Source organism: Homo sapiens, chromosome 20 (assembly GCF_000001405.40).
Source record: "Homo sapiens chromosome 20, GRCh38.p14 Primary Assembly".
NCBI classification, from domain to species: Eukaryota; Metazoa; Chordata; class Mammalia; order Primates; family Hominidae; genus Homo; species Homo sapiens.
The window spans coordinates 62,707,800-62,735,729 of record NC_000020.11 but is presented as its reverse complement, the minus strand read 5'-3'; the positions used below and the strand labels follow the sequence as shown (position 1 = coordinate 62,735,729).

Sequence of the window (27,930 nt, the reverse complement as noted above, 5' to 3'; positions counted from 1 at the left end):
GCTCACCTCGCCGTGTCGGGGGGACTCCCGTGTTACCCACCCCCCAAGCCAGGGAGCGGCCTCCAGGGGAGCATGGGGGAGGCTGAGGCCACCTTGCGGGGAGGCTGTTCCTGGGGCTGGGACGCCTCTCTCTGAATCATCCCCGCCCACAGAAGGAATTCATCTCACTCCTAATAATGTGTTTGTCACAAAGACATAATCGGCTCATCTGTGAGACTCCAGCGTGCACAGCGGTGCTGGCTCTTTGTTGTATAGTGGCAGTCTCACTGCAAGGCCGTTGGGCTTTGAGGAAAGGGAAGGAGGCACCCACTCTCTCCCCGGGGGGCCCCTGCCTTCCCTCGCAGTCCCACCTCTTCCGCCTGCCTCCATCACAGCAATTCAAATAACTATGAATGGGGCTACCTGGGAGCCCCACATCCCTGGCTGTGGGAACAGGCTGACCTTCCAGCACAGTGTCCTCCTGGTGCCAGGCACTGCCCCTCTGCCAAGGACCCTGCAGGCCTGGTAGGTCCCCAAGGGCACCCGTGGCCTCCCACCCCCTAACCATGGTTTTGGCACTGAGCTGGCGGCCAGGCGGGGCAGAGGAGGGAGCTGAGCGTCTTTCTTTAGTGTGCACGTCACCGCACACGATGGCACCCCACTGGTTGCTGCCCATCATGCAGGGCTGCCTCCACATGGGGCCTCAGCACCGGCTGGTGCCTGGCACCCCGCACGCGGCACCCCACCCCAAGGGGAGGCTGTACAGGCTCTGGACACACCCCAAAGCCACCCGAGGGCTGCTTCTCATCAGCAGGGAGGGGCTCGGGCAGCACAGTCCCGTGGAAATAGGATGCAGGCCACGTGAGGCTTAAATGTACCAGTAGCTATGTTACAAAAGTGGAAGGAAACAGCTATGATAATTTTAATACGATATCTTATTTAACTTAATGTATTCAAAATATCATATCAACTTGCAACGGTATTAGTGAGCTATTGTATACCGCCTTTCCGCATTAACTCTAAAACCCGGTGCGGATTTCAGGCTGAAGCTCATCTTCACTCAGACCAGCCATGTCTCAATGCCCAGTGGCCACGTGTGGCCCAGGGCTGCCACATTAGACAGGGCTGCCTGCAGCTTTTATGGGAAGCCACCTGGGCCAGGCACACCAGCGCCTGCTCCTCGCTCCCCAGGGGTGGTCTTGGCCCCAGCTCTGCTCAGCAGAGAACCCAGAGCCTCCAGGTCAGCCCCGGACACAGGGCGTGGGCATTGCACAAGGTCAAGAATGAGTTACTCATTTTCAACCACCTAAAAAGATGGCCCCAAAATGAAGCCTGGGTAAGACAAGGGGCCACGTCCTTCCAGGAGCAGAGCTCGGCTTCCTCTGCATCGGCCACAAAGCCCCTACTGCACCGAAGCCCAAGAGCTGAGCCAAGATTTTTTTTTTTTTTTGCGGGGAAGGGGGTCACACTCCAGAGAAGGCTCCAGAAAAGCTCTCATCCCAGACCTCGCTGCCTCCGCCCGCCCCTCACGCCCCATCTCTTGCCCGTCCCCCACCAGGGCTGAAGAGTGAACTCAGTAGTAACCCACGTGGCTGAGCCAGAGAAGGAGGCTGCGCAGGGGACAAGGCGGTCGCTTCCAGGATGAGAAGCGCAGACTCGAGGTCGGGCAAACCTGCCGCCGGCCCCAGCCGTGTGCATCTGAGCAAGTGGCTTCCCCCAGCCTCAGGCTCCTCATCTGTGAAACGAAACCCCCTCCAAGCTGGGCTGGCTCAGCACCCAAAACCATCATTTAAAATGCGACCCTGCCTGGGGGCTGTTCGAATCCTCTATTGAGATAAAGTAGCAATCATACATTCATCAGTCACTACTCCCTGCTGGAGGCCTCTTCCCCAGCACAGAGCCTTCCCTCTCTCAGCTGAGACCCCAGGCAAGGGTAGGGAGAAGAGGGTGCTGTCTCCCTCCCCCTCCTCCCCTCTCTCTCCTCTGTTCCTCCCTTTCTCTCTGTGTCTCTCTCTCCTTCTCTCCCTCTCTTTGTGTTTCTCCCTCTGTTTCTCTCTCTGCCTTTCCCTCTCTCCTCTCTTTCCTTTTCTCTCTCCCTCTCTCTTCTCTATCTCCCTCTTTTTCTCCATGTGTGTATCTCTCCTCCCCATCCCCAGAAGCCAGCCCACATGGCTCACCCTGCATTGCTAGGTGAGACAGGCCTGAGCCCTAAGCCAGGAGTCAGCCACAGCCGAGCTTTCCAGAACTTTCTAGAACCTTCCCTTTCCAAAGTGGAAATCTGGACTAGAAGGCACGATTCCCACTGGGGAGCTGCCAGTGGCTCCCTGCCCAAGGGAAACACAACTGTCCCGAGAGATGCTCATTTGCTCCCGGAAAGGAGCGCAGCAAGCTTCAACCAAGTGCTTCAGGAGGGAACCAAGAGCTTCATTCTTCCCTAATTGGTGCTAATTTTCAGCCTTCCCAGAGCTGTGCCTGGGAGGTGCAGAGGTGCCTCCAGGGTGGCCCTGCGGGGACCGGGATGCACATTTCTCTGTTAGGCTGGTAATCAGCTTGCATTTTCTCTGACAGATCTTCTTCCGAAAGAACGTCTACACACTGCCGATGACATTTACTTCACTCAGAATTTGCAAGTCCAATGCCGACATGAATATGCACGGCACTGCTGCTTGGATACGTGGCCTCAGGGCCACGCCTGCGGGTGATGTGACAAGTCCACAGACTCCCGTGGCGGCTTCTCACCGAGAAACATTCCAGCACCTGGAGGCTGCCAGCTGGGAACCCCCTTTAGGCGACGTCAGCGCCGTTGGTTCTCAGCCTGAGCCGCCCCCTGTGCCCGCTGTGGTCCTCCAGGCCCAGGCAGGGAGAGCCCGAGGAAAAGCAAGCGGAGGGTCAGATGGGGAACCAGCGTGCCTGGAGCCACGCAGGGACACGGACTTAGAATTCTACCTTGCATTTAAGGAACAGATGATAGATACTCTCTACAGTCTCTTCCAGGAAATAGAAGCAGAGGAACACTTTATAACTCACTCTACGAGGCCGGCATTACCCCAATAACAAAACCGAGGATGTTACAAGAAAGGAAAACGCAGACCAGGATGTCTCATGAACACAGATGCAAAAACCCTCAACAAAACAGCAGCAAATCCAGCATCACATACTAAGAATTATACACCACAGGATTTCCCAACCAGCACCACATACTAAGAATTACACAAATAGCAGCGAATCTCATGCAGCGCTACATGGTAAGAATTAGACAGCACAGGATTTATTCCAGGCATGCGAGGCTGCTCCAGGGTTCGGAAACAGATTATCGAAATCCATCATGGCAACAGGAACTATTTTCCAAAACCCAACACCCATCTGTGAGAAAAACCTTTCACAAGCCAGGAATACAAGGGAACTCCCTCAGCTTGGTAGAGAACATCTACTAAAAACCTACAGCCCATGTCATACTCAATGGTGACAAACCTGAAGCTTTTCTTCCTAAGATAGGGAAGGAGGCAGGGAGGCCCCCTATCCTCACTCCTATTTAACGTCATACTGTGAGTTCACAGGATGGACACTACCGATTTCAACACTTGCTATAAAGCCCCAGTTATCGGTACAGTGTAATTTTTTTTTTTTTTTTGAAATGGAGTCTCACTCTGTCGCCCAGGCTGGAGTATGGTGACACAATCTTGGCTCACTGCAGCCTCTGCCTCCTGGGTTCAAGTGATTCTCCTGCCTCAGCCTCTTGAGTACTTGGGATTTCAGGCACCTGCCACCATACCTGGCTAATTTTTGTATTTTTAGTAGAGATGGGGGTTTCACTATATTGGCCAGACTGGCCTCGAACTCCTGACCTCAAGTGATCCACCCGCCTCGGCCTCCCAAAGTGCTGGGATTACAGGCGTGAGCCACCACACCCAGCCAGTAAAGTGTAATCGTGGCTAAAGAACAGACAAATATTCCAATGGAACAGAAAAGAGAGCCCAGAAGTGGACGGACACATGCATGGGCAAATGATCTTTGAGAAAGAAGCAAAAGTTATTGATGTTGAAAAGACTGTCTTTCAACAGATGGTGCTGGAACAACTGACATCCACATGTAGAAAAAAATGGGTCTTATACCTTTCAGGATAATTAACTCAAAAGGCCTCACAGACCTTAATATAAAATGCAAGATAATACAATTTATAGATAATAACACATTTTATTTAATATAAAATACAAGATAATAAAATTTCTAGGTAATAAAATCTAGGTATCTTGGGTATAAAATCTAGGTATCTTGGGTTTGGCAATGAGTTTTTAGATGCAACATCAAAAGCATAATCCACAAAAAAAATGAATAAGCTGGACTTCATTAAAATTAAGAAATTACACGGCTGGGCGTGGTGGCTCACACTTGTAATCCCAGCACTTTTGGAGGCCAAGGCGGGTGGATCACCTGAGGTCAGGAGTTCAAGACCAGCCTGACCAACATGGAGAAACCCCATCTCTACTAAAAATACAAAATTAGCTGGGCATGGTGGTGCACGCCTGTAATCCCAGCTACTCGGGAGGCTGAGGCAGGAGAATCACTTGAACCCGGGAGGCGGAGGTTGTGGTGAGCCGAGATTGTGCCATTACACTCCAGCCTGGGCAACAAGAGCGAAACTCCGTCTCAAAAACAAAAAAGAAAAAACAAAAACAAAACAAAACAAAAACGCTCTAAAAATGACACTGTTAAACGAATGAGAAGACAAGATACAGCCTAGGAAAAAATATTTGCAAAATACTTGATAAAGGAGTGTTATCCAAAATATATAAAGAACTTTTACAACTCAACAATAAGGAAACAAACATGAAGAAATGGGCAAAACATCTGAATAGACACCTCATCAAAGAAGACGTAGCAATGGAAAAATAAGCACAAGAAAAATGCTCCACATCATATGTCATTAGAGAAATGTCGATTAAAACAATGAGATCAAATGAGAATGGCTACAAAAACCAAAACCAAGATCCTGACGACACCAAACGCTGGCAAGGCTGCGGAGCAACAGAACCGCCCTCACCCGTGGCTGCTGGGAATTCAAAATGGCGCAGCCGTGCTGGAAGGCACTTTGGCAACTTCCTACAAAGCTCAACGTATCCTTACCACGTGTTCCAACGATCGCCCTCCTTGGCATTTCTACTCCCAAAGGGGTGAAAGCCACACAGAAACCTGCACATGTATGTTTATAGCAGCCTTCTTCATAAATGCCAAAAACCAAGATGTCCATCAATAGCTGAGTGAATAAACAAGCTGGGGGACATCCAGATAATGGAATATTATTCAGCCGTAAAAAGAACAAGCTATCAAGCCATGAAAAGACAGGGAGAAACCTCAACTACATACTGCGAAGGGAAAGAAGCTGGTCTGAAAAGGCTGCATACGGTATAATCCCAGCTGTGTGACGTTCTGGGTAAGACAAACTGGAAAGACAGTAAGAGGATCAGTGGGTGCCAGGGGTTGTGGGGAGGGAGGAATAAACAGGTGGAGCTCCAAGGATTTTTTCGGGCAATGAAACTCTTCTGCAGGATCCTGGGATGGTAGATATAGGACATTACACATTTGTCCAAACCCACAGAAGGTACAAGACTGATGAACCCTAATATAAACTGCAGACTTTCCTTAATAATGTATCAATATTGGCTCATTAATTGTAACAATGTACCACACTAATGCAAAATGTTAATAACAGGGAGACACCTGTTATTAACAGGTGAGGGCCAGGAGACACCATGGAGCCGCTGTCCTGTGGGCTCAACGCTTCTCTACAACTGTTCTAAAAAATAAAGTCTATTAATAACAATTTAGATGGCCAGGCATGGTGGCTCAGGCCTGTCATCCCAGCACTTTGGGAGGCCGAGGCAGGCAGATCACTTGAGGTCAGGAGTTTGAGACCAGCCTGGACAACATGGTGAAACCCTGTCTCTACCAAAAATATAAAACATTAGCTGAGGGAGGTGGCGGGCTCCTGTAATCCCAGCTACTCAGAAGGCTGAGGCAGGAGAATCACTTGAATCTGGGAGGTGGAGAGCTGAGATCGTGCCACTGCACTCCAGCCTGGGTGACAGAGCGAGACTCCATCTCAAAAAAAAAAAAAAAAAAAAAATTAGAAACCCCTAGCCCCAAGTTCTAGGTCTCTGCCCTGGAGATTCTGATCCAGTTGGTCTGGGGTGAGCCTTGGGGTCTGCATTCTGGAAGCACCCCTGGGGGAGATTCCTGAGGCTATAAGGCTCTGAGCTACACCTGTGTCACCTGTGTTTCCCTCTCCTCCCCTGAGGGCCCACCCTCCATCCATCACCTGCACCACAATCCCTGTCTCAGGCTGTGCTTCTGAGGACTGCCCCCGCTCCATGCACGAAAGAAATTCCAGATCTTTCCATTCTCCCTTTGTCTCATCTCTCCCCAGTGGGCTGGAAGCCACAGAGCCTGTGTTGAGCAGGCCACCCTGGGGCTCCCAGGGAGCTACTCTCTCCCCACCCTGCCCTCCTCCCGGAGCCCCCAAGTTGGGAGGAGTGGCTTTGACCATGCAGATAGCCACTCCTGGGGGCTGCAGGCACAGCAGAGAAGCAGACTTGGGTGGATCTGTGGGTGTCAGGCATTTGGGACATGCCGTGAGTAAGTGTGTCTGGATACAGCTTCAGTCTCAGGTTTAGCTCCCTGCAGGGCACGAGCCCCTCAGGTGTGCACAGACCGAGGACTGGACATCCATCTCTTGGCTCTTGCCAGCAGCTTCTTCTGAGTGTCGCCGGAAGGGCTGGGTGGGGTCAGGGGACAGTCTTAGGGTCCCTTTCCAACTCAGCATCTCCGGCTTCCTTCAGAAAAGAATCTACCCCAAGACCCTTCTCAGTGTCCTGAAGCCCCTCTGTCTGGAGCGAGGACTCCACTGAGGGCCGGTTCTGGGTGCAGGTGACAGAAACTGGGTGGGCACCTGGCTGGGCTGTCCAGGTGACCTGGTGGACGTGCCTCTGGCGTTTGGCAGAAGTGGCTGCCGTGAAACCTGCTTGGCCTCCGGGTGTTGGCCTGCCCTTCGCGACTCAGTTTCCTTTTCCTTCCCCTTCCTGAGCAATGCTGGCACACACAAAGAAAGCCCAGCTGTGCACACAGCGTCTTCCGCAGACACCGTGGCCCAGCCTCCGGCAGGCAGAGAAAACCACAAACGGCCTCCACTTTCACCGAAATGGAAGCAGCCTTGCCAAGGGGATGTTAAGAAATGAACTTCTGCCATTTTTAGAAACTGAACAGTAAAAATCCCCGGGAATGAAGCTGGTGCTGGAAACGGAAGCTCCGTCCCCTCCTGCGGGGACGTCTGTCTGTTCATCACCAGTAGTGTCTGCACCCACCCAGCTCCACCCCCTCCTCAGGGTGGGGCTGCCGCACACACTGACCGCAGGGATGGGGAAACAGGGCTTCATGGAGGAGGTGACCCTGGGGTCCAGCTGAGTAGCCGGGGAGGGAAAGAGAGAGCACCGACCCCAAGGTACCCATCTCCCTCCTGTTGATCAAGGCTCGGATGCTGGGAGACTCGGGGGGACCTGTGCACCACTCCCTTCCCCTGACTTCAAAGCCGACTCAGCCCCTCCTCCAGGAAGCCCTCCCTGCTGTCCAGTCCACACCCCTCATCCACAAGGCTCGTCCTTGTGGTCATAAGGAGCCCCAGGAGGGGGAGTAAAGAGCCAGATGATGGGGCCGGGCCTAGACTGGCCCTTCCTTGGCCCTGCAGGCACCGTGGGCCTGGGGCAGCCCTGAGGCCTCGCTGGGTCCCCAGCACCATCTGCTGTGACAGGAGGTGAGTGAGTGCAGGCCCCAGGTGCTGGGTCGGCCCACGCCGGGAGCGCCGGGAACACAGGTCTGTCCCTTTGCCCACTTGGCCCCACCCTTGCCATGGCACCCATACCCGCCTGCCCTTGCTCTTCTCCCACTCTGGCCCTCGGCTGTGGCCCTGGTGGCCGCTGCTGTGCAGTTCTGAGGCCGGGGCCATTTGCTGATCCAGGGGCTGCTGCTTTCAGCCCACAGGTCCCCCTGCCACCACGCCAGACACAGGTTTTGTGATGAAACCTGTTTGTGGCTCAGGCACTCCCGCCTCCCCTCCAGGAAATCCACGTCCAGCCACCCTCTCTGTGCTATCCCCTCAGTCACCTCGATGCTGGAGGCGGAGGGCTCAGAGCCACTGCCCAGCGGCCGTACCACAGCGGACTCTCCTTAGACCGGTGCTGAGCCCGGCGGCCGGGCAAGGTGCAGAGGTGGCTCCAGACCCGCCGGCAGTCCAGCTGGCGCTATCTCTGGGGCAGAACCCGTGGCCCCAGGCGGTGACAGCCTGTGTGTTTTCAGTGTTCACTCCTCACTCCAGCTCACCTGTTCCTGGCACTCTGGGCTGGGACTTGCTGGGACCCCCCACTTCCACCCAGCCCTTGCTGCTCCCTGAGGGTGGAGAGGAAACCCTGTCCTCAGGCCCTGTGAGCCGGAGAGAGCGCATCTACGTGGTGACAGGTCTGTGGGGCCGGGGAGCCTGCAGGAGCCCGGCTCAGGGTGGGGGCAGTGCGGAGCCCTCACGGGCTCCTGTGTGGGGCTGGTGTGTCCTGCCCTGGCTTATGCAGGCAACCCGCTTCCCAGGCGGATGAGGCGGTCTCTCGGGGACTCCAGGAGGGCCTTGAGCCTTGGAACCAATGAAAACAGGTGATGCAGAAACCCTTCTCCTCCAGCTGTGCACCCCACAAGCTCTGGCAAGGACCCCTTTCATCCAAGGCCACGGTTGTCCACAAAGCAGTTTCCAGATGGGGCTCAGAGGACAGGTGCACCTGCCGTCACCTGGTTCTCAAAACCATCCCAGTGTGGATGGGGCCACATTGGAATCCTGGGCAGGAAGTGCCCGTCCTGTGAGCATCTTGGCCATCTGTAGCCTTCTCCACTAACGCGGCCGGGGCCAGGCTTGTCTTAGGTGCCTGTGCCTCGGGGAGCATGGACCTGTTCCTCCTCACCTAGTAAAATGAGAAAAGCACTCCACAGTTGTGAAGCCATTCCCACCATTTTTTTTTTTTTTTGAGACAGGTTCCTGCTCTGCCGTCCAGGCTGGAGTGCAGTAGTGCCATCACGACTCATTGCGGCCTTGACCTCCCAGGCTCAAGCGATTCTCCTGCCTCAGCCTCCCAGGCAGGGGCCACAGGCACCAGCCAGCATGCCCAGGCAATCTCAGCATCCTAAAGCCTGCTATGCCTGGGATGGCTGATTCTCCTGGGGACCGGTGGGCAGGCAGTGGGGATGCCGTGCTAAGCGAGGTCCTGCTGGTGCCTCTTGGGTTTCCTTTCTAAGCAGCCCACACTCCTGGGCCTGGTCTCGGAGAGCAGCAGTTTCTTGAGGGCAGGAGAAATGAAAACAGGTTTTATTTATGGACAAATAGTCGCAGCAGTTCCATTGACAGACGCAGGCCGATCTGCCGGCTCTTGGAGGCTGGAGCCTCTTGGGAGATCTGTCTCCTCCGAGTCCTGTGCTTGGGTTTTAACTGGGTTTCTGCAAGGTGATCCCAGCTGACAATTTTGGGGAGAGAATCAGGACAATGGCAGCCCCACAGAAAGGGTTGAGACCGGTTCGGAAGGGCTGCTCACCCCTCGGGCTGGAATGGAGCTGCCGGTGACCCGGTGGAGGCTGCGAACCCCAAGGGCAGGTGAGCATGTCCATTTTATTCTACCCCAAATGCTGCCCCCGACATTCTGGTCAAGCCCCAGGGCAGGGACAGGGCAGCAGATCTCTTGGCCCATGAGGTTGGTGTACAGAGATTTCAGGGTACAGGGCAGAGCCACCCAGAGTCCCCCCACCCTCAAGCCAGGGCCGGCCACCTTTCCACGCTCTTCCTGGGCTGGGTGATCCTGGGCACTGCTAGCCTCCCTCCTCCTCCCTCCCCCTCACTCCTCCAACCTCCCCCTTCTTCCACCTCCCTTCTTCTCCCTCTCCCTCCGTCCTCCTCCCTCCTCTTGGTTTGCTGGGATTCAAGGTGGGGGGTGATACCAATAACACTCAGAGCTGAGGCGGCGGCGTCTGTGCCCACCTGAACCTCCCTGTGCCACTGTCAGACGGACCCAGCAGGAACCAGCTGGCACCTCCAACCAGCAGCTGGAAGACATTGAGCTCAGGGACAGCAGATGAGGCGTGGACAGATGGGGTGGCCGGTTGGGTGGCTGCAGGATTCTAAGGCTTGAATCCAGGGGACCTCTTTCCACCTTATCCCCCAGGGAGCAAGAGGAGTGGGCAGTGATGGGACCGGAAGGCAGCGGGGGGGAGACGGGGCCGACAGTGCAGCGGCAGAGGGTGGCAAATGCCCCGAGCCCACTCGCCTCCCGCCTCCCGCTTCCCACTGTGTCTCGCATGGCCTCACCTGGCTGGAGGCCCCACAGGATGAGGCCAGGGTGGCTGTGAAAGGTCACTCCTACCCCTGCTCCTCTTCCTTCCCCCTTGCAGGGAGGCCAGAATGATGCTGGTCTTGGGACTGTTCTAGGCAATTGAGCTGGGGCTGGGGGCTGGGGTAGCCCTTCCAGCCCCTTCCTGTTCCTCCCCTTGCACTTATCTGGGGCTCTGGTGCTTGCTTTCCACCAGGAGCCAGGGAGCCCCATCCTGTGCCTTGGGGAGCACTTGTCTGCCGGGAGAGGAGGCCTGGTGCCTGCTGCCTCTCCCCTTGAATTGTGGTGTTGTGGAGTAATTGGTAGCCCCGAAAAGATACGTCCATTGGAACCTGTGTGACCTTATTTGGGAAAAGAGTGTGCAGATGTAACTGAGGACTGTGCGATGAGATCATCCTGGATCGGAGTGGGCCCTAAATCTAATGACCAGTATCCTTAGATGACACAGAGACGCACAGGGGGAAGCCACGTGGAGACAGAAGCAGAGAAAGGAGCGATTCGGCCACAAGCCAAGGAATGCCAAGAGCCTCCAGGAGCTGCAGGAGGCAGGAAGGGTCCTTCCCTAGAGCCTCCGCGGAGTGTGGGCCTGGGACCCTGATTTCAGGCCTCCAGAGCCACGGAGGACACATTTCTGTGTTTTGAGCCTCTGCAGCCCCAAGAGACCAGTGCCTGCCCAGGAGACCCTCGGGGTTTCTGTGGTTCTTCCTGACAGGCAGAAGCATGAAAGGTATTTGGGGTTGGAGCTGTCAAAACACAGATCTCCACCCCGCTGGTTTTAACTGGAGGCTTTCTGAGCATCTCTGTGCTGATCGGACACAAATGCAGTTATTTTTAATACATTAGATGGGCTCCTTTTGAAGAAGCTGTCAGGAAAATCCACTGCAGGAAGTTTGATGGGTGCCCTGCACCTTGTCTGAGTGCCCTGCAATTACCCGCTTCTAGTCTGTGGCAGGTTCGCCAGGGTAGGGGCCTTGGGGACCCTCCCTGTTCCAGGCATGCTTCCTTTGGTTAGAAGCATGCTTCCAGGTCACTGCACTAGCATCTGAGTGTTTGTCCCTAACCGTCTGGGCCTCTGGGGTTGCAGGGGCCCCACTGTCCCAGGGCTCTGCTGAGAGCTGCTGCCCTCTGAGCTGGGGTCTGGGTGCAGTTTGGCTCCTCCCAGGACTTGGGAGGTCATGGCTCGGGTCCCCTGAGAGTTTGGGCCACTTTGGCAAAGCAAACTTCTGAGCGGGGCAGAATCTTGGACCCTCAACCCTGTGCCAGGCCTGTGGGGACAGTGGGGCCGTTTGGGCAGCCACTCCCCACTGCCTCCTACAAGCTGGTTGAAGCCACTGGGCAGACACAGAGCTGCCAGACCTCTTGCCCATGGCCCCTCCCATCTCTGCCTCCTGCCCCAGAGGCTGCTGCCTCCGCCTGACCTGCTGCCACAGGAAGACCACCTGGAGACCACCCAGGGGGTCAGCGTGTTCACCTGAAGCCAGCTTCAAAGCAACCCCAGTGTTTCGCTGGCTCGGCCCTGACTCCCTCAGCCCATCACAGGTGCAGAGGAAATAAAGCCCCGTGCTTGGGGGCTCCCTGTACTAAGGACAGGCCAGAGAGAGGAGCTTCAGGCTGCTGTGTCTGAGGAGGTCCCTGGGCTGGAAAGACCTCTGTCCCCACTGGCAGCTTCTGTGTCTTAAGGGTGCAGGGCAGGGCAGTGGTGATGGGAAATGCTGGTGAGCCCTGGACCAGGGATCCTGGATCTGGTCCTCCACCATGGGGTCAGCCCAGATGGAATGGCTTATCCCTCAGCTCCAGGCAATAAATAGTGACCCCCGACAGCCGCTTCCTACTGTGCACATCCTGCTGGGCACGCAGCCTGAAGTCGACAGGTGGACAAATGAGCGTTCCTTGCCCTGGCTCCTGACCAGCACATTCCGGACGGCTCTATTCGCAGCTCCGGAGTGACACGGCCCAGACACACTTGCGGTCCCTCCCTGACTCGCAGGAGCCGGGGGCTTCGTGATTCTGCCAATCAACTGGGAAGTGACACCCCAGACAGCAGCATCCCACGGCTGTTGTGAGCAGTTACAATTGAGTGATGCCCAAGCAGGAATGATTCCCAAACAGCTCCCGTACTCTCTGAATGCTGAGAGCCTGGAAGTGTGAGTTTTTAAGGAGAGGAACCGTGTTTGAATTATAAGAAAACAAGGCTCTTGAAATAATTCTCTTAACCTTTAAATATGTCAAAGGAGAGTTACTGAAATTTACAGTAAGTTCACCTTTTCACAGACAACAGGCTAAAAATGTTTAAGTCCAAATAATGTTGCTCTTTTTCATAAGCTTCAGTGTAAGATTTACTCAAACACAGTGGCTGTCCTCAGACTCATGTTTCTTGGATAACTCTATTTCTTTGTTCTGTGTTCTTTTGTAACATTGTTTTAATAATTCCTTTGAGCCCAAGCCTTTTATCATAAGCTGCCTCAGATCTTTTTGAAAGTAGGCAGTGTTTAAAATCTACGGATGACTTTCGCCAGGGGTACTGGACTAGCTCTCCTGCCATAAACAACTATAAAATTGTACACGATGTATCAGGCAGTTGTTTTCAGACCCTGGACAAACCTCAGGACTGTGGTCCCTAAGGGCATGGATACTCACAAGGTGAGCCCATCATCACCATGCCTCTGTTTGGGGACAGTTTCCTGATGGAGACGTAAGAGCTGAGGTCCGGGCAGAACGTTACTATCTGAGCCAAGGAGGCAGAGATCAGAGATGCGGGCTGTGGCTGTGGCTACATCTGCAGAGCCAGGTGCTAGAGAGGGGGACTGCATGGTGACGGTCCTCAGAAGCCTACACCGGCTTTCCTGTGGGATCTGTGCTGGCCCAGCGTGTACAGAACAAGGCCACGAAAGGCTTATCAGAGGGTGGCTGGCATCCTGGCAGAGCTAGGGGGAAGAAGTCTCATTAACACATGAAGCAGCCAACAGAGATGCCAGGAAGCCCATGACACAGGAGGATGGAGAAGCCCTAGAGCAAGGCCTCCAAACCCACCCCAGCTAAGACAGAATCCACAGAGGAGGCTGAAGGTGCCCACTGAGTTCTTCCAAGTGAGAAGGGATATTGGAAAATGCCTTGGGCTTTCCGTAGTTGTTTACTCAACTAAGCATGAAACCAAGCCGACCCAAGTTCAAGATGACGAGTCTGCCACTGAACTGCCTGCTAAAATAAGAATCAACCCTCTCCAAAGGAACACAACACAATCCAGTCTCTTTAATGTGTCATCTACAAGGTCTAGTATAGGTTAAAAATTACTAGATATGCAAAGAAAGTAAAATGTGACCCATTGACAAGAAAAAAATGAGTCCATTGAAACAGACATCAAGGTGGAAGTGAGAAGCAGGAGGTGTCAGGTGTAAATCAGCATGATATGAATCTGATCAGACTCTGAGCACTCAGAGTCCACTCAGAGGCATACTGATATTCCAGGGCAACCATTCCAAGAGCAAATACAGAGAAGTGGATCTAAAGAAGTCAGCAGAGGACATAACATGGAATACTCGGGCTTCCTGGCTGGAGGCCTAAGGAAAGGATCCCTGGAAACTAGAGAGTGTGACAGGAAATCTCAGAGAGGTGAGAGCTGAACAAGGGGATCCCCCAGTTCTGTGTATGAGTCAACACAAGTCCTGGAGTTACCACATATGAGGAACACACCTAAACAATTATAGTTAAGGGCTTGAAAACCGCTGTGATATAAACGATCTCCAAGATCTAAGCCTGCCCCTGAATGGCACTTTCATGTGGAATGGCTGAACAGCAAAAGACCCAAAAACAGGCCTGCATTGGAACCACCACGGACAGACAGTGAGACAAAAGCGGCAGCTCTGACCAAGCGGGCTGCCTCTCCAGAGGATTCTAACATAACCCAAAGAACCACAACAAAATTCAAAATGTTCAGGAATTAATTCAAAATTACTTAACAGAAAAAGAACCATGGAAATGGGACTAACTCTCAAGGAAAAGAGAATCAATATATGCCACCCTCAAGATGACCCAGAGGATGGATTTACCAGACAAAGACTTTAAAGCAGGCATTACAACCATGCTCCTTGAGGTAAAGGTAACTCTCTTGAAATAAATGGAAAAATGAAAGTTCTTAAAAGACAAAAAGAAACTATATTAAAAGAACCAATAAAAATTCTAGAATTAAATACTATAACACTATCCAACAAATTGACCTTCATAGAATAATATACCCAGCAATGATAGCACAGCACATTCTGCTCAAGTGTGCATGTGACATTCACCAGAATAGACCATTATCCTAAACCATGAAACAAGCATTCACAAAATTAGGAATTTAAATCATGCACATTTGTTCTCTAAACATAATAGGGTTAAATTAGAAATGGATAAAAAAGTAATATCTGGAAAATCCCAAACATTTGGAAACTAAACAACACATTTGTAAATAACACAAAGGTTAAAGAGGGAATCTCAAGATATAAAAAAATTTTGATCTAAATTAGAATACAATGTTCAAAAATTTTGAGATGCCACTAAAGCATTAATTAGGAGGATGTTTATAGCATTTCATGTTTATGTTAGAAAAGAATAAAGATCTTAAATCAATAATCCAAGCTCCCACCTTAGGAAATCTAGGAAAAGAAGAGCAAATTAAACCCAAAGCAAGCAGAAAAAGGAAATGAAGAAAGAAATATAAATAAATAAAATTGAAAGCTAAAAGACAATAGAAAAAAAATCAATGAAATCAAAAGCTCATTCTTGAAAAAGAACAATAATGTTAATAAAATCCTAGCCATATTGCCCAAGGAGAAAAGAGAGAAGTCACAGATTACCAATATTAGAAATGAACAAGGAGACACTATTACTGACCCCACAGACATTAAAAGGATGATGACAGAATACCACAAATAAATCTATGCTCTAAAATTTGACAAAATAGATTATATGGACCAATTCCTCAAAAGATACAAATTACTAACACTTACTCAAGGAGAAATATATAACCTGAATATTCCTTTATCTTTTAAAATAATTTGTCTTGTGAGATGGAGTCTCGCTCTGTCACCTAGGCTGGTGTGCAGTGGCGTGATCTCGGTTCATTGCAACCTCCACCTCCCGAGTTAAAGCGATTCTCCTGCCTTAGCCTCCCGAGTTGCCAGGACTACAGGTGCCCACCACCACACCTGGCTAAGTTTTGTATTTTTAGTAGAGACAGGGTTTCATCCTGTTGGCCAGGCTGGTCTCAAACTCCTGACCTCAGGTGATCCACCCTCCTTGGCCTCCCACGGTGCTGGGATTACAGGCCTGAACCACTACACCTGGTTTCTTTGAAAAGAATTGAATTTATAAAAACCTTCCTACAAAACTCCAGGCCCGGATGGTTTTGCTGGACAATCTACCAAAGCTTTAAAGAGGAAATCATGCCAATTCTACACAACCTCTGACAGAAAACACAAAAGGAACAAGAACCTCCCAGCTCATGTTATGAGGCCAGAAAACCAGATGAAGATAACCCAGGAAAATAAACTTACAGACCAATATTTCTCATGAGCATAGACACAAAAATTCTCAGCAAAACACTAGCAAGTCAAAACCAGCTAATACACGACGAAATGAGGTCTATCCCAGGAATGTGAGGCTGGTTCATCATTCAAGAATTAACCAAGGTTTTCCACTTATATTTGGCCCCCGGAGTGGTCAAATTCACAGAGACAAAAAGTAGAATGGCGGTTGCCAGGGGCTGGGGGAGGAGGAGATGGGGAGTTAGTGTTTAACAGGCGCAGAGCTTCAGTTTGGAAAGATGAAAAGAGCTCTGGAGAGGGAGGGTGGAGATGGTCGCATGACGATGTACCGAGAGGGAGGGTGGGGATGATCGTATGACGATGTACCGAGAGGGAGGGTGGAGATGGTCATGTGACAGTGTACTTAGTGCCACAGAACTGTGCACTTATATTGATTAAAGTGGTAAATTTTACGTGATGTACATTTTATCACAACTGGAAAGTAATCAATATAATTCACCACATTAACTGACTAATGGAGAAAATCCACATGATCTTGCCACATGATGAGACAGAAAAATCACTGCACAAAATTTAACATTCATTCACGATGAAGAAAAAAATCTCTCAGCACACTAGGAATATAAGGAAACTTTCCTAACTTTATAAAGAGCTCTAACAAAAACTTAAATAAACGAAAAACTTTTTTTTTTTTTTGAAAGAAAAAAAAAGGGACTGGAAGCAAGGCAAGGATGTCTACTCTCATCACTCCTATTCACCATCATACTGGACGTCATAGCCAGAGCAGTGAGGCAAGACCAGGAGCTGGCCAGGATGCAGAGTGACCACTGCTTCATGTGGGTTAAGGCTAGGGTGAGGGACGTTCAAAACAGCGCATCGCTTAGGAAACACTGGCAAACATACACTTTCTGTATGACCCAGCAATCTGAAACCTACGTATTTACTCATGAGAAATGAAAATGTATATTCACACAAAATTCATCATATGTGAATATTTGTAGCTACTTTATTCATAATCGCCCAAACCCAGAAACAACCCAGAAGTCTTTTGGTGGGCAAATGCCTCAACAAAACGTGGTCCATCCACAGAATGGATCTGACTGCACAATAAAAAGGAACGCCTGGTCAATGCAGGCAACAGCTCAGAGGATGCAGTGAAGGAAGAAGGCCGGCTCGAGAGGCCACAGCCCAGCTGGCTCCATTCACTCGACGTCCCAGAAAAGGCAAAGCTGTGGGGGAGGAGAGCGGACCAGTGGGTGGAGGGGCGGGCATCGGGGCGGGTGGGCCACAGGGCTGGAGGGCGGGGGCCGGTGTGTCTTCTGAAGTGGGGATACATGGCTGCATTTATCGAAGCTCATAGGTGCGAACAAGCACAGAAGGGAATCTTATTGCCTGTCAGTCGAAAAATGAAGTAGGAACAACGAAAAGCACGTCTCTGGTATCCAACCCCTCTCCGCCACCTTCTCCACCCCCACCCTGGCCTAGGACTCCTTGGTCACTCCCCAGGCATCCAGCAGCAGCTTCCCAACCATTCTGACCCCTAAATGCATTCTCCACAAAGCAGTCAGAACTGTCCCTTTAACGTGTAAGTCACGTGGCGGCTCTGCTCAGAATCTCCCACGCCCACTCACTTCTTCCAGAATAAAAGCTGTGGCGAGGTCTACGAGGCATGATCTGCCCGTGGCTTCTCACACGGCCCTCTGCTCCCTCCGCTCCGGCCACCCCGCCAGGCCAGCGCTGTTCCTCCAGCACCCCCAGCACGTGCCTGCCCTGGGGTCTTTGCACCTGCTGTTCCCCTACCTGGCATCTTCCCCGACGCCCACCGGAGTGCTCCTGCAGGGTCTGCACGAGGCCTTCCTGACCTGCCTGCACCCCCACGCTCCCCCCGTGTGGTTTTCTCTGCGGCTCTCGTTACTCCTTGCCGGCCATGTATGGTGCCTATTTATTTCGCTTATTTTCTGTCTTCTCTGATGGGACGTGAGTTCAAAGGGCCAGAACTTTTTGCCAGTTTTTTTGGGCTGCTATACCCCCATCCTGGCATGTGGTAGGTGTTCAGTGAATGAATGATGAGTGAATGAAGGAAGGAAGGAAAGATGTTAGCCCAGATGCTCAGAAGAGAATTCCTCCTGCCTGGGGAGGCTCCCAGCCCTCCCAAGCGCTGCTGCATTTCTGCCGTTGTCCAGGGGAGAACACAAATCATGCTCATGGGCGATTGAGTCCTTCTTCCACCCCAGGCACAGTCTCCAGCGTTTTATGTCATTAACTCATGAGACTGCAGGGCAATCGCTACCTCCAGTTGGCTTATGGGGAAACAGAGGCACAGATGGTCACACCATTTGCCCAGAGTCGTGCTGCTGGCCAGTGGTGAAGCTGGGATTTGAACCTGGGTTCTGGCAAGCCAGCCATTCCAAGCCACTGGGGACAACCCAAAACCACCTATTCTCGGGAAGCATTCTCCTGATCTCCTTCTTGCTTCCCTGACTGCCTTCAGGAGCCAGCCCTGGGTATGTAGGACACAGCCCCCACAGGTGCACAGGGATGTAAAATCCCAAAGTAGGCACGGGTGGCTTCGGGTGGGTCAGCATGCTGGGCACCTCCCCTCTCCAACCTGTGCCAGGTCCACGTGGCACTCCAGACCCAGGGCTCTCACCTTGCCCTCCTGGGGTGGGTGGTGCCCCACTGGCAATGCTTTTGGGAAGAGCAGTGGGCACCAGGGTGGGGCAGGCGCCTTGCCCCGCTCTGGGCCTCAGTTTCTTCATTGACGCTGCAGAGCCCGGTGGTCCCCCTCCGGAGCTGTGCATTCCCCTTGGGGTGACACATGGACGGGGACAGCCCCTTGGCCACTGCGCCTTCACTGGCGATGGCAAGGTCAAACTCCAGGGCATGGCGGGGGAACAGTGGGGGTCTCTGAGACAGGCAGACCCCATGGCTGTGACCTCAGTAACACCATCCCCACCAAGCGCCAAGAACCAGGATCTCTATTCCCCTCCGTGCCCCCCTTGCAGAGCTAGCCTCGTGCAGGCAGCAGCCTGGTCAGGGAGCGAGGGGCTGCCGGGATGGGGGCTCATGCTCTTCACAGCCCTTCATGGCCGTCCAGGGGAGGACGATCTTGAGTGCACACAGGCCCACAGGAGGGAGGACCTGGCCACCCGAAACAGCCTTGAGCGGACGGCAGCTCGGTCACTCTCTGCTGCTGTTGTTTTTCACAGACTCACGGAGGCAGGACTAACACGCGCTGAAATCCACCCCTCAGTCTACAGCCCCACGAGCTTTGAACCACAACCAACACAGACTCACGGAGGCGGGACTAACGCGCTGAAACCACGAGCTATGATCCACAACGAAGATACAGAACATTTCCGTCACCCCAGAGTTCCCAGCGCCCCTATGGCCACCCCACCCCTCCTCCGACCTTCCTCCTGTCCCAACGGCTCAGCGTTGTCCAGAACCTCAAGTGCTTGGAATCACCCAGGGCCTTGGAGTCTGGCGTCTTTCAGCAGCAAGCCTGCCTTCAAGAACCTGCATCTTAGAGAAGACCCAGGGGAGGCCTGAGATTCTGCCAGTCTGAGTCATCCACCTCACCGAGCCAGAAAGCAGAAAAGAGGTTACCAGGCGCTGGGGGTCAGGGTTTAATGGGGACAGAGTTTCAGTCTGGGGAGAGAGAAGGTTCTGGAGGTGGATGGTGGCGACGGTTGCACAGCAATGTGAACGTGCTTCACGCCGCTCAACTGTGCCCTTCCAGATGGTAAAACAGCACATTTTAAGTGATGTGTGTTTCACCATGAATCAAAAATAAAGAAAAGCTTCTTTCTTCTCTTAATACAAACTACTAGATCACCACGTGAGATTTGATTGAGAAAAACGAAGGCAGCCTCTGGTTCGTGCACAGGTCGGACGTCCTCTCGGGCCCTGCTCAGCCCAGGGCCCTCTCTGCCCATCATCAGATGTTACCAGCTGGGAGCCCCAGTGCCCCTGAGAACAGACCTGGAGATCCCTGGGCTGCTGCCTGAGGCCTGCCTCACCTGTGGGGTGGCTTGTGGTGGTTCTTGGCAAGCACAGGGTGGCTGTACCCCCTTGCTGCCCTCAGTACCCACAGAACTGCAGGCACAGCCCCAGGACCCCATTTGTCCTTGGAGTTGAACATCCTCAGAATGCTGTCAGTCCAAGTGCAGGACAGCCCGGGAGAGCTGACCCCGGGTCACAATGCAGAGCTGTGAACAGGTGAGCCTGAACCACTCTGGGCCAAGTCACTCTCGAGGACTCCAAGCCCAGTCAGAGCCAGCCATGGCCAGCTCTGGGCCCCTCACGTTCCCACCCTTGCCCATCTCACTCAAAAGCCTGACCGTTGTCCCCACGGGGAGCACCACAGGGTCAGGCTAGGCCTTCCCTTCTGAGAGCACCTCCAGGCCCTGTCTCTCTCCAGCCACGTGATGTGCACAGGTGGCTCTGCCCTCTGCTTCATCTGGGAAACGGGGTTACGGGGTACAGAGGTGGACCCGCATGTCTGCACGTCCTCACCCTGCCGTCTCCCACCTGGCTCCAACAGGCAGGTCTGGTGCCTGGAACAAGGCCAAGGTCACCTCCCTGTCCTGCCCTCTCACCCCCCACAGCCTCAGAGTCACCATCTGAACGGTGATTTCATACGCCAAATTCTTTATTTCCAACATATAGCACCTTAACCTTTTGAAAACTTTTAATTACTAAATTTTTCAAACATGCCAAAAATGTCATCAACACTCACTTTCCATGATTACAGACTTAAGACCAATCTTGTCTCCTCTGTAGCCCTCCCACAGCCCCTTCCCCCAGATCACGCTTCAGTAAATCTGAGACATTGCATCATTTTGTCTGTAAACATTTCCGCATGTACCTCTAAGAGAGCAGGACCATTTTGAAAACCATACCCACAACAGCTCTGGACAACAAGAATTTGTAGCTATTCACTACCTAGGCTTTTTTGCTGTTTCTTGGCAGGAAGAATGATCAGCTTTGGTGCCGGCTTTCTGCGACAGGTTGACTTGTCCGAGTCTTTGCTAAGAAACCAGGCCACCGTCTCCGATTCCCTCACTGTTTGTAGAACAGAACGAGTTGTTTATTTGGAGCTGTTTCTTGTGGTCTGGGTTTTGCTGGCTGCATCCTAATGGTACATTTGTCCCTGTTCCTCTGTCCCTGGTGTGTCCTGTGTGTTGGATCAGGGGCTCCATGAGATTCAGATTCAATGGCTTTGCTCCAAGGATGCCACGAGGCTGTGTGCACACCAGGGCTCACCTCACACCTAACTCTCTCCCCTTCGTGACCCCAGCAGCTGTCAAGAATCCATGCCTACATCCATTGATTTATGAGGATTGCACCTGATGGGTGGTATTCTGACCATCCTGCTCCTTCTTCACTTATTGATGAACATTTCTGGGCTGAGACACTGCCTTTTATCTACTCTTGGGTTATTCTAAAGTACCGTTTGAATAGAAAAGGCAGGAAAAATACTCCATTCCTTTCCTCTAAAGGGTCATGGGCTCAGACTGGAGGAAGTGTGTGACTCTTGGCCCCACACCAACAGCCCTCTATGCCCTGCGCTGCAGGTGAGGACACTGTGGCCGCTACGGCCAGAGCCAGAGCTGCCCACAGCTGCGTGGCGTGGGTCCCCTTCCCGTCCTCACGGGAGGTCAGAGTGGAGCAGGCTGTTCCTAAGGACCCCTTGAAGAACTTCTTCTGCAACTTTTTTTTTCTTTGAGACAGTTGTCACCCAGGCTGGAGTGCAGTGGTGTGATCTTGGCTCACTGCAACCTCCGCCTCCCAAGCTCAAGCGATTCTCCTGCCTCAGCCTCCCAAGTAGCTGGGATTACAGGCATCCTTCACGACGCCCAGCTAATTTTTGTATTTTTAGTAGAGATGGGTTTTCGCCATGTTGGCCAGGCTGGGCTTGAACTCCTGACCTCAGGTGATCCGCCTGCCTCAGCCTCCCAAAGTGCTGGGATTACAGGTGTGAGCCACCACGCCCGGCCTTCTGCAACTTTCTAACTTGAAAAAGTTCCTACTGCAGAACAGTTGCAGGAAGAATGCCCAGGACACTCAGCTGCCTGTGGCAGGGCTGCAGCCCAATGCCGCATGACCCGCAAGCAGTCTCCTCCCTTGATTCACTGTCTGCTTGCTCTCCTTCCATTTGGCCACACCTTTCTTTCTGAATGATTTGAGAATAAGTTGCAGACTCCACACTCTAAACACCTCTGTATCCTTCCTAAGAACAAGGATGCTGCCTGTGGAGGTTGCTGGGCACAGCCTGGGGCACGGGACAGGAGCCCTGAAATAATCCATGGCCAGATTTCACTGGAACCTGTCTCCTTCCCTGTCTCAGCCGCCTCTCCTTTCCCGGAATTCTGCCAGCCCTGAACGGCTGGGGTGTTTGCCAAGTCGCCCTGTGATCTGTCTGCTCCTGGACGCCTCTGGAGCAGGGGTTGTAGGACACCAGCGCCTCCTGCACAAATTGAGGCCCCTGTCTGCCCCTGGGAGGGAGCAGGTGCCCTCTGAGTTGGGGTCTAACCCAGCGAAGAGCACTGCTGTTTGTACTCAATATGAAGAAGGCTTTCAGAAAAAACAAGGAGGAGGCAGGGAGGCTGAGCCTGCAGGAGCAGGACTCCCTTGGTGCAGAAAATGGCAATGATGAAAGGAGTCCTCACGGCTGCTCAGGAGGGTCTAATGGACTCGTGCCTGTGAGGCTGGGAGGGTTTGCTTTCGTGTGTGGCCATAGTCAGGGGCGGGTCTCTAAAACTGTTTCAAAGGCTGCAGCCACCTCATCTGATTTGAATCGGACACCTGAAGTCCCAGGCCCCTGCCACTGTGGGCCCCTGGACACACACATGTGTGCACACGTTCAGTATACACGCCATGGACAGATGACAGATAAGCATGGGACTCTGATGACCCACCATCTGGGCCATCAGCCCTGAGCCCTGCCACACAGATCGTGTGCCACTGGGACCCTGTCACAGCCGAGGTCAAAGCTGAGCTGGAGGTTGGGCCTGGGCCATGGGGGACCATCCAAGAAGCAAGGGCCATCTGCCCGTGTGGGGCCACGTGTGCGGGTGGGTTAGAGGATGGGTAGGACAGTCCAGGGGAACCCAGGGGCACCCGTAGGTCCCTGAGCCCCCAGCTCCTCCTCCCAGTCACCCTGCTGGCACCAGGGCCAGGTCTGGGGCCTTTGGGAGGGTCCTGGGCACCAGGTCCTGTCTGCTGACCTGAGAGCCCTGCCCACTCCACCATCAACTCCCAGTCCCAGCTACACACTAGGAAAATGCCCAGCTGGCTTCAGGGAGGATTATTGTAAGTTGCTCCAAAGTGTTATCACTGAACCACCTCATTTCTAAACACAATTTCTGTTTGCAAGTGCCCAGGCCAAAATTTCGTAGGAGACGCTGGGGCAGGAAAGGACCCCTGTTTTGGAAAGAGGGGCCATTTGATTGGCCACTGCCCCAACACTTCCAAACATGGTCACTGAGAGGGAGACACTTAGCTCAGGGTATCCAGCCCCTCTTCAGCCAGACATCACCATCTGAAAACCGTGGATGTTTGCCCAGATCTGCCAATGGCCCAGAAGCCCACGTGGGGACCGTAAACCCCCTAATTCCGGGGAAACCTTTCATAAAATGGCAAATGGCGGGGCAGGGGTCAGGGGAAGCCAAGGCCTCTCCTACGAGGAATGTTCTTTTCAAGCACACAGAGCAGCTGGCATCGGGGCCCTGGAAAGCCCCAGGTCATCAGCATCGGATGGAGGAGCACCCTTGTAATCAGCTGCTCCCAGGCACGCAGCTGAGCCCTTTAAAGAAAAATGGAAACTACGTTCTCCAAGGGTGCCTTCAGCAACGCTCGGCCAGCATGGCGTCTGCAGGGCGTGGGGCCGCTGTCCTACGGTTGATACGTCACAGGCCTCTGCGATTGGACGAGTGCCTGTGGCCGGCCGTAGCGTGACTTGGCCAAATCTGCCTCGCAGCCTCTGAGCAACAAGGCTGGGCAGGTGGTGCTTTGGGAGGCAAAGTGATGTCCCCCAGGTGCCCAATCCCAAGTACCTGGCAGAGAGCCCACGCACGCGGGGAGGACACTTTCCGGGGGGCGGAGCCGAGCTGTCCTCACGCCCCTGTGCTTTTCGGCTGTTTGTTTTTGAGGACTGCAGGAGGCTGGTGAGCTCCTGGCCTTTTGCCAGGGGAGCAGGGGGATCGGGGTTCTGAGCGGGGGGATCGGGGATCTGAGCGGGGGGATCGGGGGTCTGAGTGGGGGGATCCGGGGTCTGAGTGGGGGCATCTCCTGGGTGGGCAGTGACAGCGCTGACCCCTCCACTGCCCACCTTCTGAAGGACTGAGTGGCTGTCGCCCCTGGGGCCCCTCCACGCGGACTGGGGAGAGGTTCCCCCTGGCCAATGCCAATCAAAGACAGGAGCTTGGGGAGAGCAGATAAAGCCTCAAAGGGAGGGAGAGGTCATTTCTCACTGTGTTTACCCCACAGGCCGTGCCTACTTCTGCCTCTGGTGAGGGGAGGGACTCTCGCCGCAGAAGCAAAGCAGCCCTGACTCACTGCCTGCCACCAGTGTCTGTGGGAGGGGCCTCCCCGAGATGGGACACCTGTAGCCACCAGTTCTATGTGCAGCCAGGGAGACTGGGAGCTCAGTTCTACCCTCCTCCACCCCCCAGCCCACCTGGGTGGTGGCCAGTGGAGGGTCAGTTAGGGCCCAGGGAGTGACAGACAGGTGACCCCCTGCCCGGCACTGCTGCCCTCACCCCCACCGGGCATACTGGCATACGCGGGGTGCCCAGGCAACTACAGAAGCTTAGCTGGGAGGCTGGCGATGCTGGTGTGTGGGGAGTTGGGGGGACAGCCAGCCACCCTGGCCCCTCTAGCTGGGCAGAGGTAGGCGACTCTGCCCGGATCCTTCACCCTCTGGCTTCCTTAGCCCACCAGAAATGGAGGAAACCCCACACTTCTAAGGCTGCTCATTTCCAAGATGCCTTTCAAAGTTCCCGACCGGCCCTGACTTCCTCCCTGGACACCAGCCTCCTGCTCGGGGCTTTGGTTTGATCAGCCCTCCCCTCCAGCACTGGAACCCCCCGTGCCACGAACCTCAGCCAAACTGATTCCCAAGGGGGCTTCCCACCCGCATTCCCACGGCGCTTTGCTCAGACCCTTGGAGGGCCCTTAGTCACTCGGCTCCAGTTTTACACACCTCACCACAACACCGCCGCCACACGCAGATCCTCACAACCTTCCCCGCAGAAACATCGTCCCCACCATCCCGCAATAATAGTGCCTGTGAGCCCTTCTATGTGTCAGGGGCCATGCAAACACTTCCCACGCGTCCTCTCTCCAATGCTCTACCTTCTGAGGTCAATGCTATCACTACCCCATCACACAGATGGGAAAGCTGAGGCTAAACTAGGAACTGGCCCAACACGGCATCAGGTTCTGTTCTGACTCCCAAGTTTGGGTCAGGGCAGGCAGCTGGGAGGCACCGGCAGAGCCAGTCTGGGGGCTTCTCTGCAGAGGAAGGAACATCACCTGTTGGTGGCACAGTCTTTTGAGAAGCTGATGAAAGTGTTACTCTTCCTTTGGAGACGCAGGTGCCAGCGCACATGTTTCCATTAGGCTTAAGGAATTCAGAGATGTCCGAGGCCCAGCCACCAACACCAGAGAGGTCACAGGCAGGGGCTCCATCCCCTCAACAGGAGGGAAGAAGATAGGGGCTGAGCCTGGCAACTCTGGAGCTGCCCCCAAGCTGCCCCAACCGCCTTCCCAGCCTCGCAGGAGTAGACTGTCTCTGTGACATCTCTCCCACTCCCTACCCAGAAGGCACACCACTGGCACTGCTTTTGGGGTGAAGGAGAGGGGAGCCCCGGGGCTGGTTACTGAGGCTCACCTGTATGACGACCTTGACGGTGGCAGTGTGGATGGTGGGGGTGCACACCAGGCCGCCGGCGTGCTGGCCGTCGGCGCTGCGGTTCTGCTCGCCCATGGTGAACAGCATAGGCACCGCCAGCAGGGCCGAGGCGAGCCAGATGGCGCTGATGAACTTCTTGGTGCGGCTTCGGGACATGAGGGTCTTGGCCTTGAAGGGGTGGCAGATGGCCAGGTAGCGCTCCACACTCAGGCTGGCCACGTTGAGGGCCGTGGCGTAGGTGCAGGCGTCGCGCAGGAAGTAGTAGCCGCGGCAGCCGGCGTCGCCGAAGGCCCAGGGGTGGTGCACCCAGATGAAGTTGTACAGCTCCACGGGCATGGCCAGCAGCAGGGTGAGCAGGTCGGACAGCGCCAGGCTGCCCAGGTGGTAATGCACCGTGCTCTGCAGGCTCTGCAGCGACTTCTTCCGCGCCAGCGTGAACGCCGTCACCGTGTTGCCCACCGTGCCCACCACGAAGAGCGCCAGGTACACGGCGGTCACCAGCACCTTGGAGTAGATGTCGGTGTTCACGTCCAGCTCGCTGCTGGGTGCCGCCAGGACGCGCTCCGACGCGTTGCCCGAAGCGTTGCCGAAGCCCGGGGCCAGCAGCGCCTCCTCCAGTCCGGCCTGCGCCCGCTGGAAGGGGTCGGCGGCCGGCGTGCCCGGGGTTCCCGGCGCGGAGCTGTTGAGGCGCATGGTGGGCGCTGGAGTCCGCGGCTCTGTCCGGCGCCTCCGGGGCTGGAAGTCCGGGCAGGAGTGGGCGCGTCTCAGGCGGGGACCGATGAACGGGAGCCCAGGGGAGGGCGCGTGGCGAAGACCAGCGGGCGCGCCGTCCAGTCGGGAAGCGCCAGACCCAGACGCGCCGCCCCGGGCTCCGGGCTCCGGGCTCCGCTCTCCTCCGGACTCCCAGCTTCCGGCTCCTAGCTCCAGAACCCGTGGTTCCTCGGGCTGTCTCCCGGCTCGGCGCTTGCCACGGGTTCCAGGTGCCTCCGATCTCCAAACCGCGCGGTTCCCCAGGCCCCCGAGGACAGCGCCCAGCCCGGCTCGGGCTGCGCGGGGCGAGCTTGTGGCGCCGGGAGGAGCGCACGCACTGCTGCCCGGGCGCGCTCCCCTCCCTCGCTCAGAATCTCCTCCCTCGCGCTCTCCGCGCACCCCAGCCCCGCACACCTCCCGCCGCGCCCGCGCCCTCCCGGCTCTGCGCGTCTCCACGGAGCCGGCGGCCGCGCGGCGCGCCCAGCAGTGGGGGGTGGCGGCGGAGGAGGGAGGCAGCCCCCGCCGCCATCCCCGCCCCGCCCGGGTGCAGCCTGGCGGGTCGCCCCCTCGCGCTCCCCGGGGCAGGGCGGGCTGGGGTGAGCGCTCCAGGGAACCAGGATTCCGAGCGGGCGCGGCGGGTATCGTGCACCAGACCCTTCCTGCCACCCTCTTCCCTGTTCTCCGCAATTTCTCGCACCGGCTAGGAAGGGAACTATGCACCTCCCCCAACCCTGGGCTCGCTCAGTTGGGGTGAGGGTGTATCCGGAGGGCAGGGAGGGAGGAAGCTCCCCGCTGGCAGGGCTGGGCGGCTGCGCAGCTGGTTGGGCCGACCCCCACTCCTGGGTGTCCACAGGGTGCCAGAAGCTGGGTGCCCAGGGGGCTCTAGGACCACTGGAGATTACATTTCTGGTGATTCCTTTTAAAATCTGGCCGCAGTCATGGGCGTGCCTGGTCTGTGAATGCGTATTTCTGGGATGTGCCCAGTGGAAATGGTGGGGGCTCAGGGCATAGTTATCACCTGGGGCAGGATGGCGTGAGGCAGTACCGAGGGACACCTGCAGGGGCTGAGGAGCTGAGGGGCTGGGTCCTGCAGAGGCCGGGAGCCACAGATGGTTTCATCAAAGTCTGGGGAGGGGTGAATGAGGGAGGGCAGAAAGCAGGTGCCCAGAGCAGCACCCTCCCCACTCAGGGCCCTGCATCTGGCACCCTGGGCTGGTCTCATGACGCTATGGGATGTGATGCCCTGGGCCCCTTATTACTGCCTGGATTTGTCATCAGAAGCCACCCTGAGAGCCTGCGCCCCAGCAGGATTTGGGAGAGGCAGCCCCAGCACGCATCCTCCCAGGCCCTG

General features: G+C 54.7%; 1 protein-coding gene and 1 long non-coding RNA gene across 2 annotated transcripts in view, besides 7 other annotated features; one reads left to right on the top strand and one right to left on the bottom strand.

The window, feature by feature from the left end:
• NTSR1 (neurotensin receptor 1) overlaps window positions 1-26,894 on the bottom strand; it is a 53,936-nt gene extending 27,042 nt beyond the window's left edge. Inside the window, exon 1 of the mRNA NM_002531.3 lies at window positions 25,809-26,894. Within this exon, the coding sequence (NP_002522.2) occupies window positions 25,809-26,522 (714 nt within the window). The 5' untranslated portion in view covers window positions 26,523-26,894. The remainder of the gene's footprint in view (window positions 1-25,808) is intronic.
• Window positions 102-947: an enhancer, noted in NCBI's record as "H3K4me1 hESC enhancer chr20:61366135-61366980 (GRCh37/hg19 assembly coordinates)". NCBI's record gives its function as "activates a minimal SCP1, AML or CMV promoter by ChIP-STARR-seq in primed H9 embryonic stem cells {active_cell/tissue: H9 hESC(primed)}" and the evidence as "EXISTENCE:reporter gene assay evidence [ECO:0000049][PMID:30033119]".
• NTSR1-AS1 (NTSR1 antisense RNA 1) lies at window positions 371-5,800 on the top strand. The gene is made up of 2 exons (NR_199009.1): window positions 371-504; window positions 2,548-5,800. It is a non-coding gene; the product is annotated as an NTSR1 antisense RNA 1 (long non-coding RNA).
• Window positions 11,797-12,336: an enhancer, noted in NCBI's record as "H3K4me1 hESC enhancer chr20:61354746-61355285 (GRCh37/hg19 assembly coordinates)". NCBI's record gives its function as "activates a minimal SCP1, AML or CMV promoter by ChIP-STARR-seq in naive H9 embryonic stem cells {active_cell/tissue: H9 hESC(naive)}" and the evidence as "EXISTENCE:reporter gene assay evidence [ECO:0000049][PMID:30033119]".
• Window positions 14,164-14,356: a silencer, noted in NCBI's record as "fragment chr20:61352726-61352918 (GRCh37/hg19 assembly coordinates)". NCBI's record gives its function as "represses an EF-1alpha promoter that drives an FKBP-Casp9 reporter gene in an ReSE screen in HepG2 liver carcinoma cells {active_cell/tissue: HepG2}" and the evidence as "EXISTENCE:reporter gene assay evidence [ECO:0000049][PMID:32094911]".
• Window positions 25,603-26,147: an enhancer, noted in NCBI's record as "H3K27ac-H3K4me1 hESC enhancer chr20:61340935-61341479 (GRCh37/hg19 assembly coordinates)". NCBI's record gives its function as "activates a minimal SCP1, AML or CMV promoter by ChIP-STARR-seq in naive H9 embryonic stem cells {active_cell/tissue: H9 hESC(naive)}" and the evidence as "EXISTENCE:reporter gene assay evidence [ECO:0000049][PMID:30033119]".
• Window positions 26,148-26,694: an enhancer, noted in NCBI's record as "H3K27ac-H3K4me1 hESC enhancer chr20:61340388-61340934 (GRCh37/hg19 assembly coordinates)". NCBI's record gives its function as "activates a minimal SCP1, AML or CMV promoter by ChIP-STARR-seq in naive H9 embryonic stem cells {active_cell/tissue: H9 hESC(naive)}" and the evidence as "EXISTENCE:reporter gene assay evidence [ECO:0000049][PMID:30033119]".
• Window positions 26,904-27,416: an enhancer, noted in NCBI's record as "H3K4me1 hESC enhancer chr20:61339666-61340178 (GRCh37/hg19 assembly coordinates)". NCBI's record gives its function as "activates a minimal SCP1, AML or CMV promoter by ChIP-STARR-seq in naive H9 embryonic stem cells {active_cell/tissue: H9 hESC(naive)}" and the evidence as "EXISTENCE:reporter gene assay evidence [ECO:0000049][PMID:30033119]".
• Window positions 27,417-27,930: an enhancer, noted in NCBI's record as "H3K4me1 hESC enhancer chr20:61339152-61339665 (GRCh37/hg19 assembly coordinates)". NCBI's record gives its function as "activates a minimal SCP1, AML or CMV promoter by ChIP-STARR-seq in naive H9 embryonic stem cells {active_cell/tissue: H9 hESC(naive)}" and the evidence as "EXISTENCE:reporter gene assay evidence [ECO:0000049][PMID:30033119]".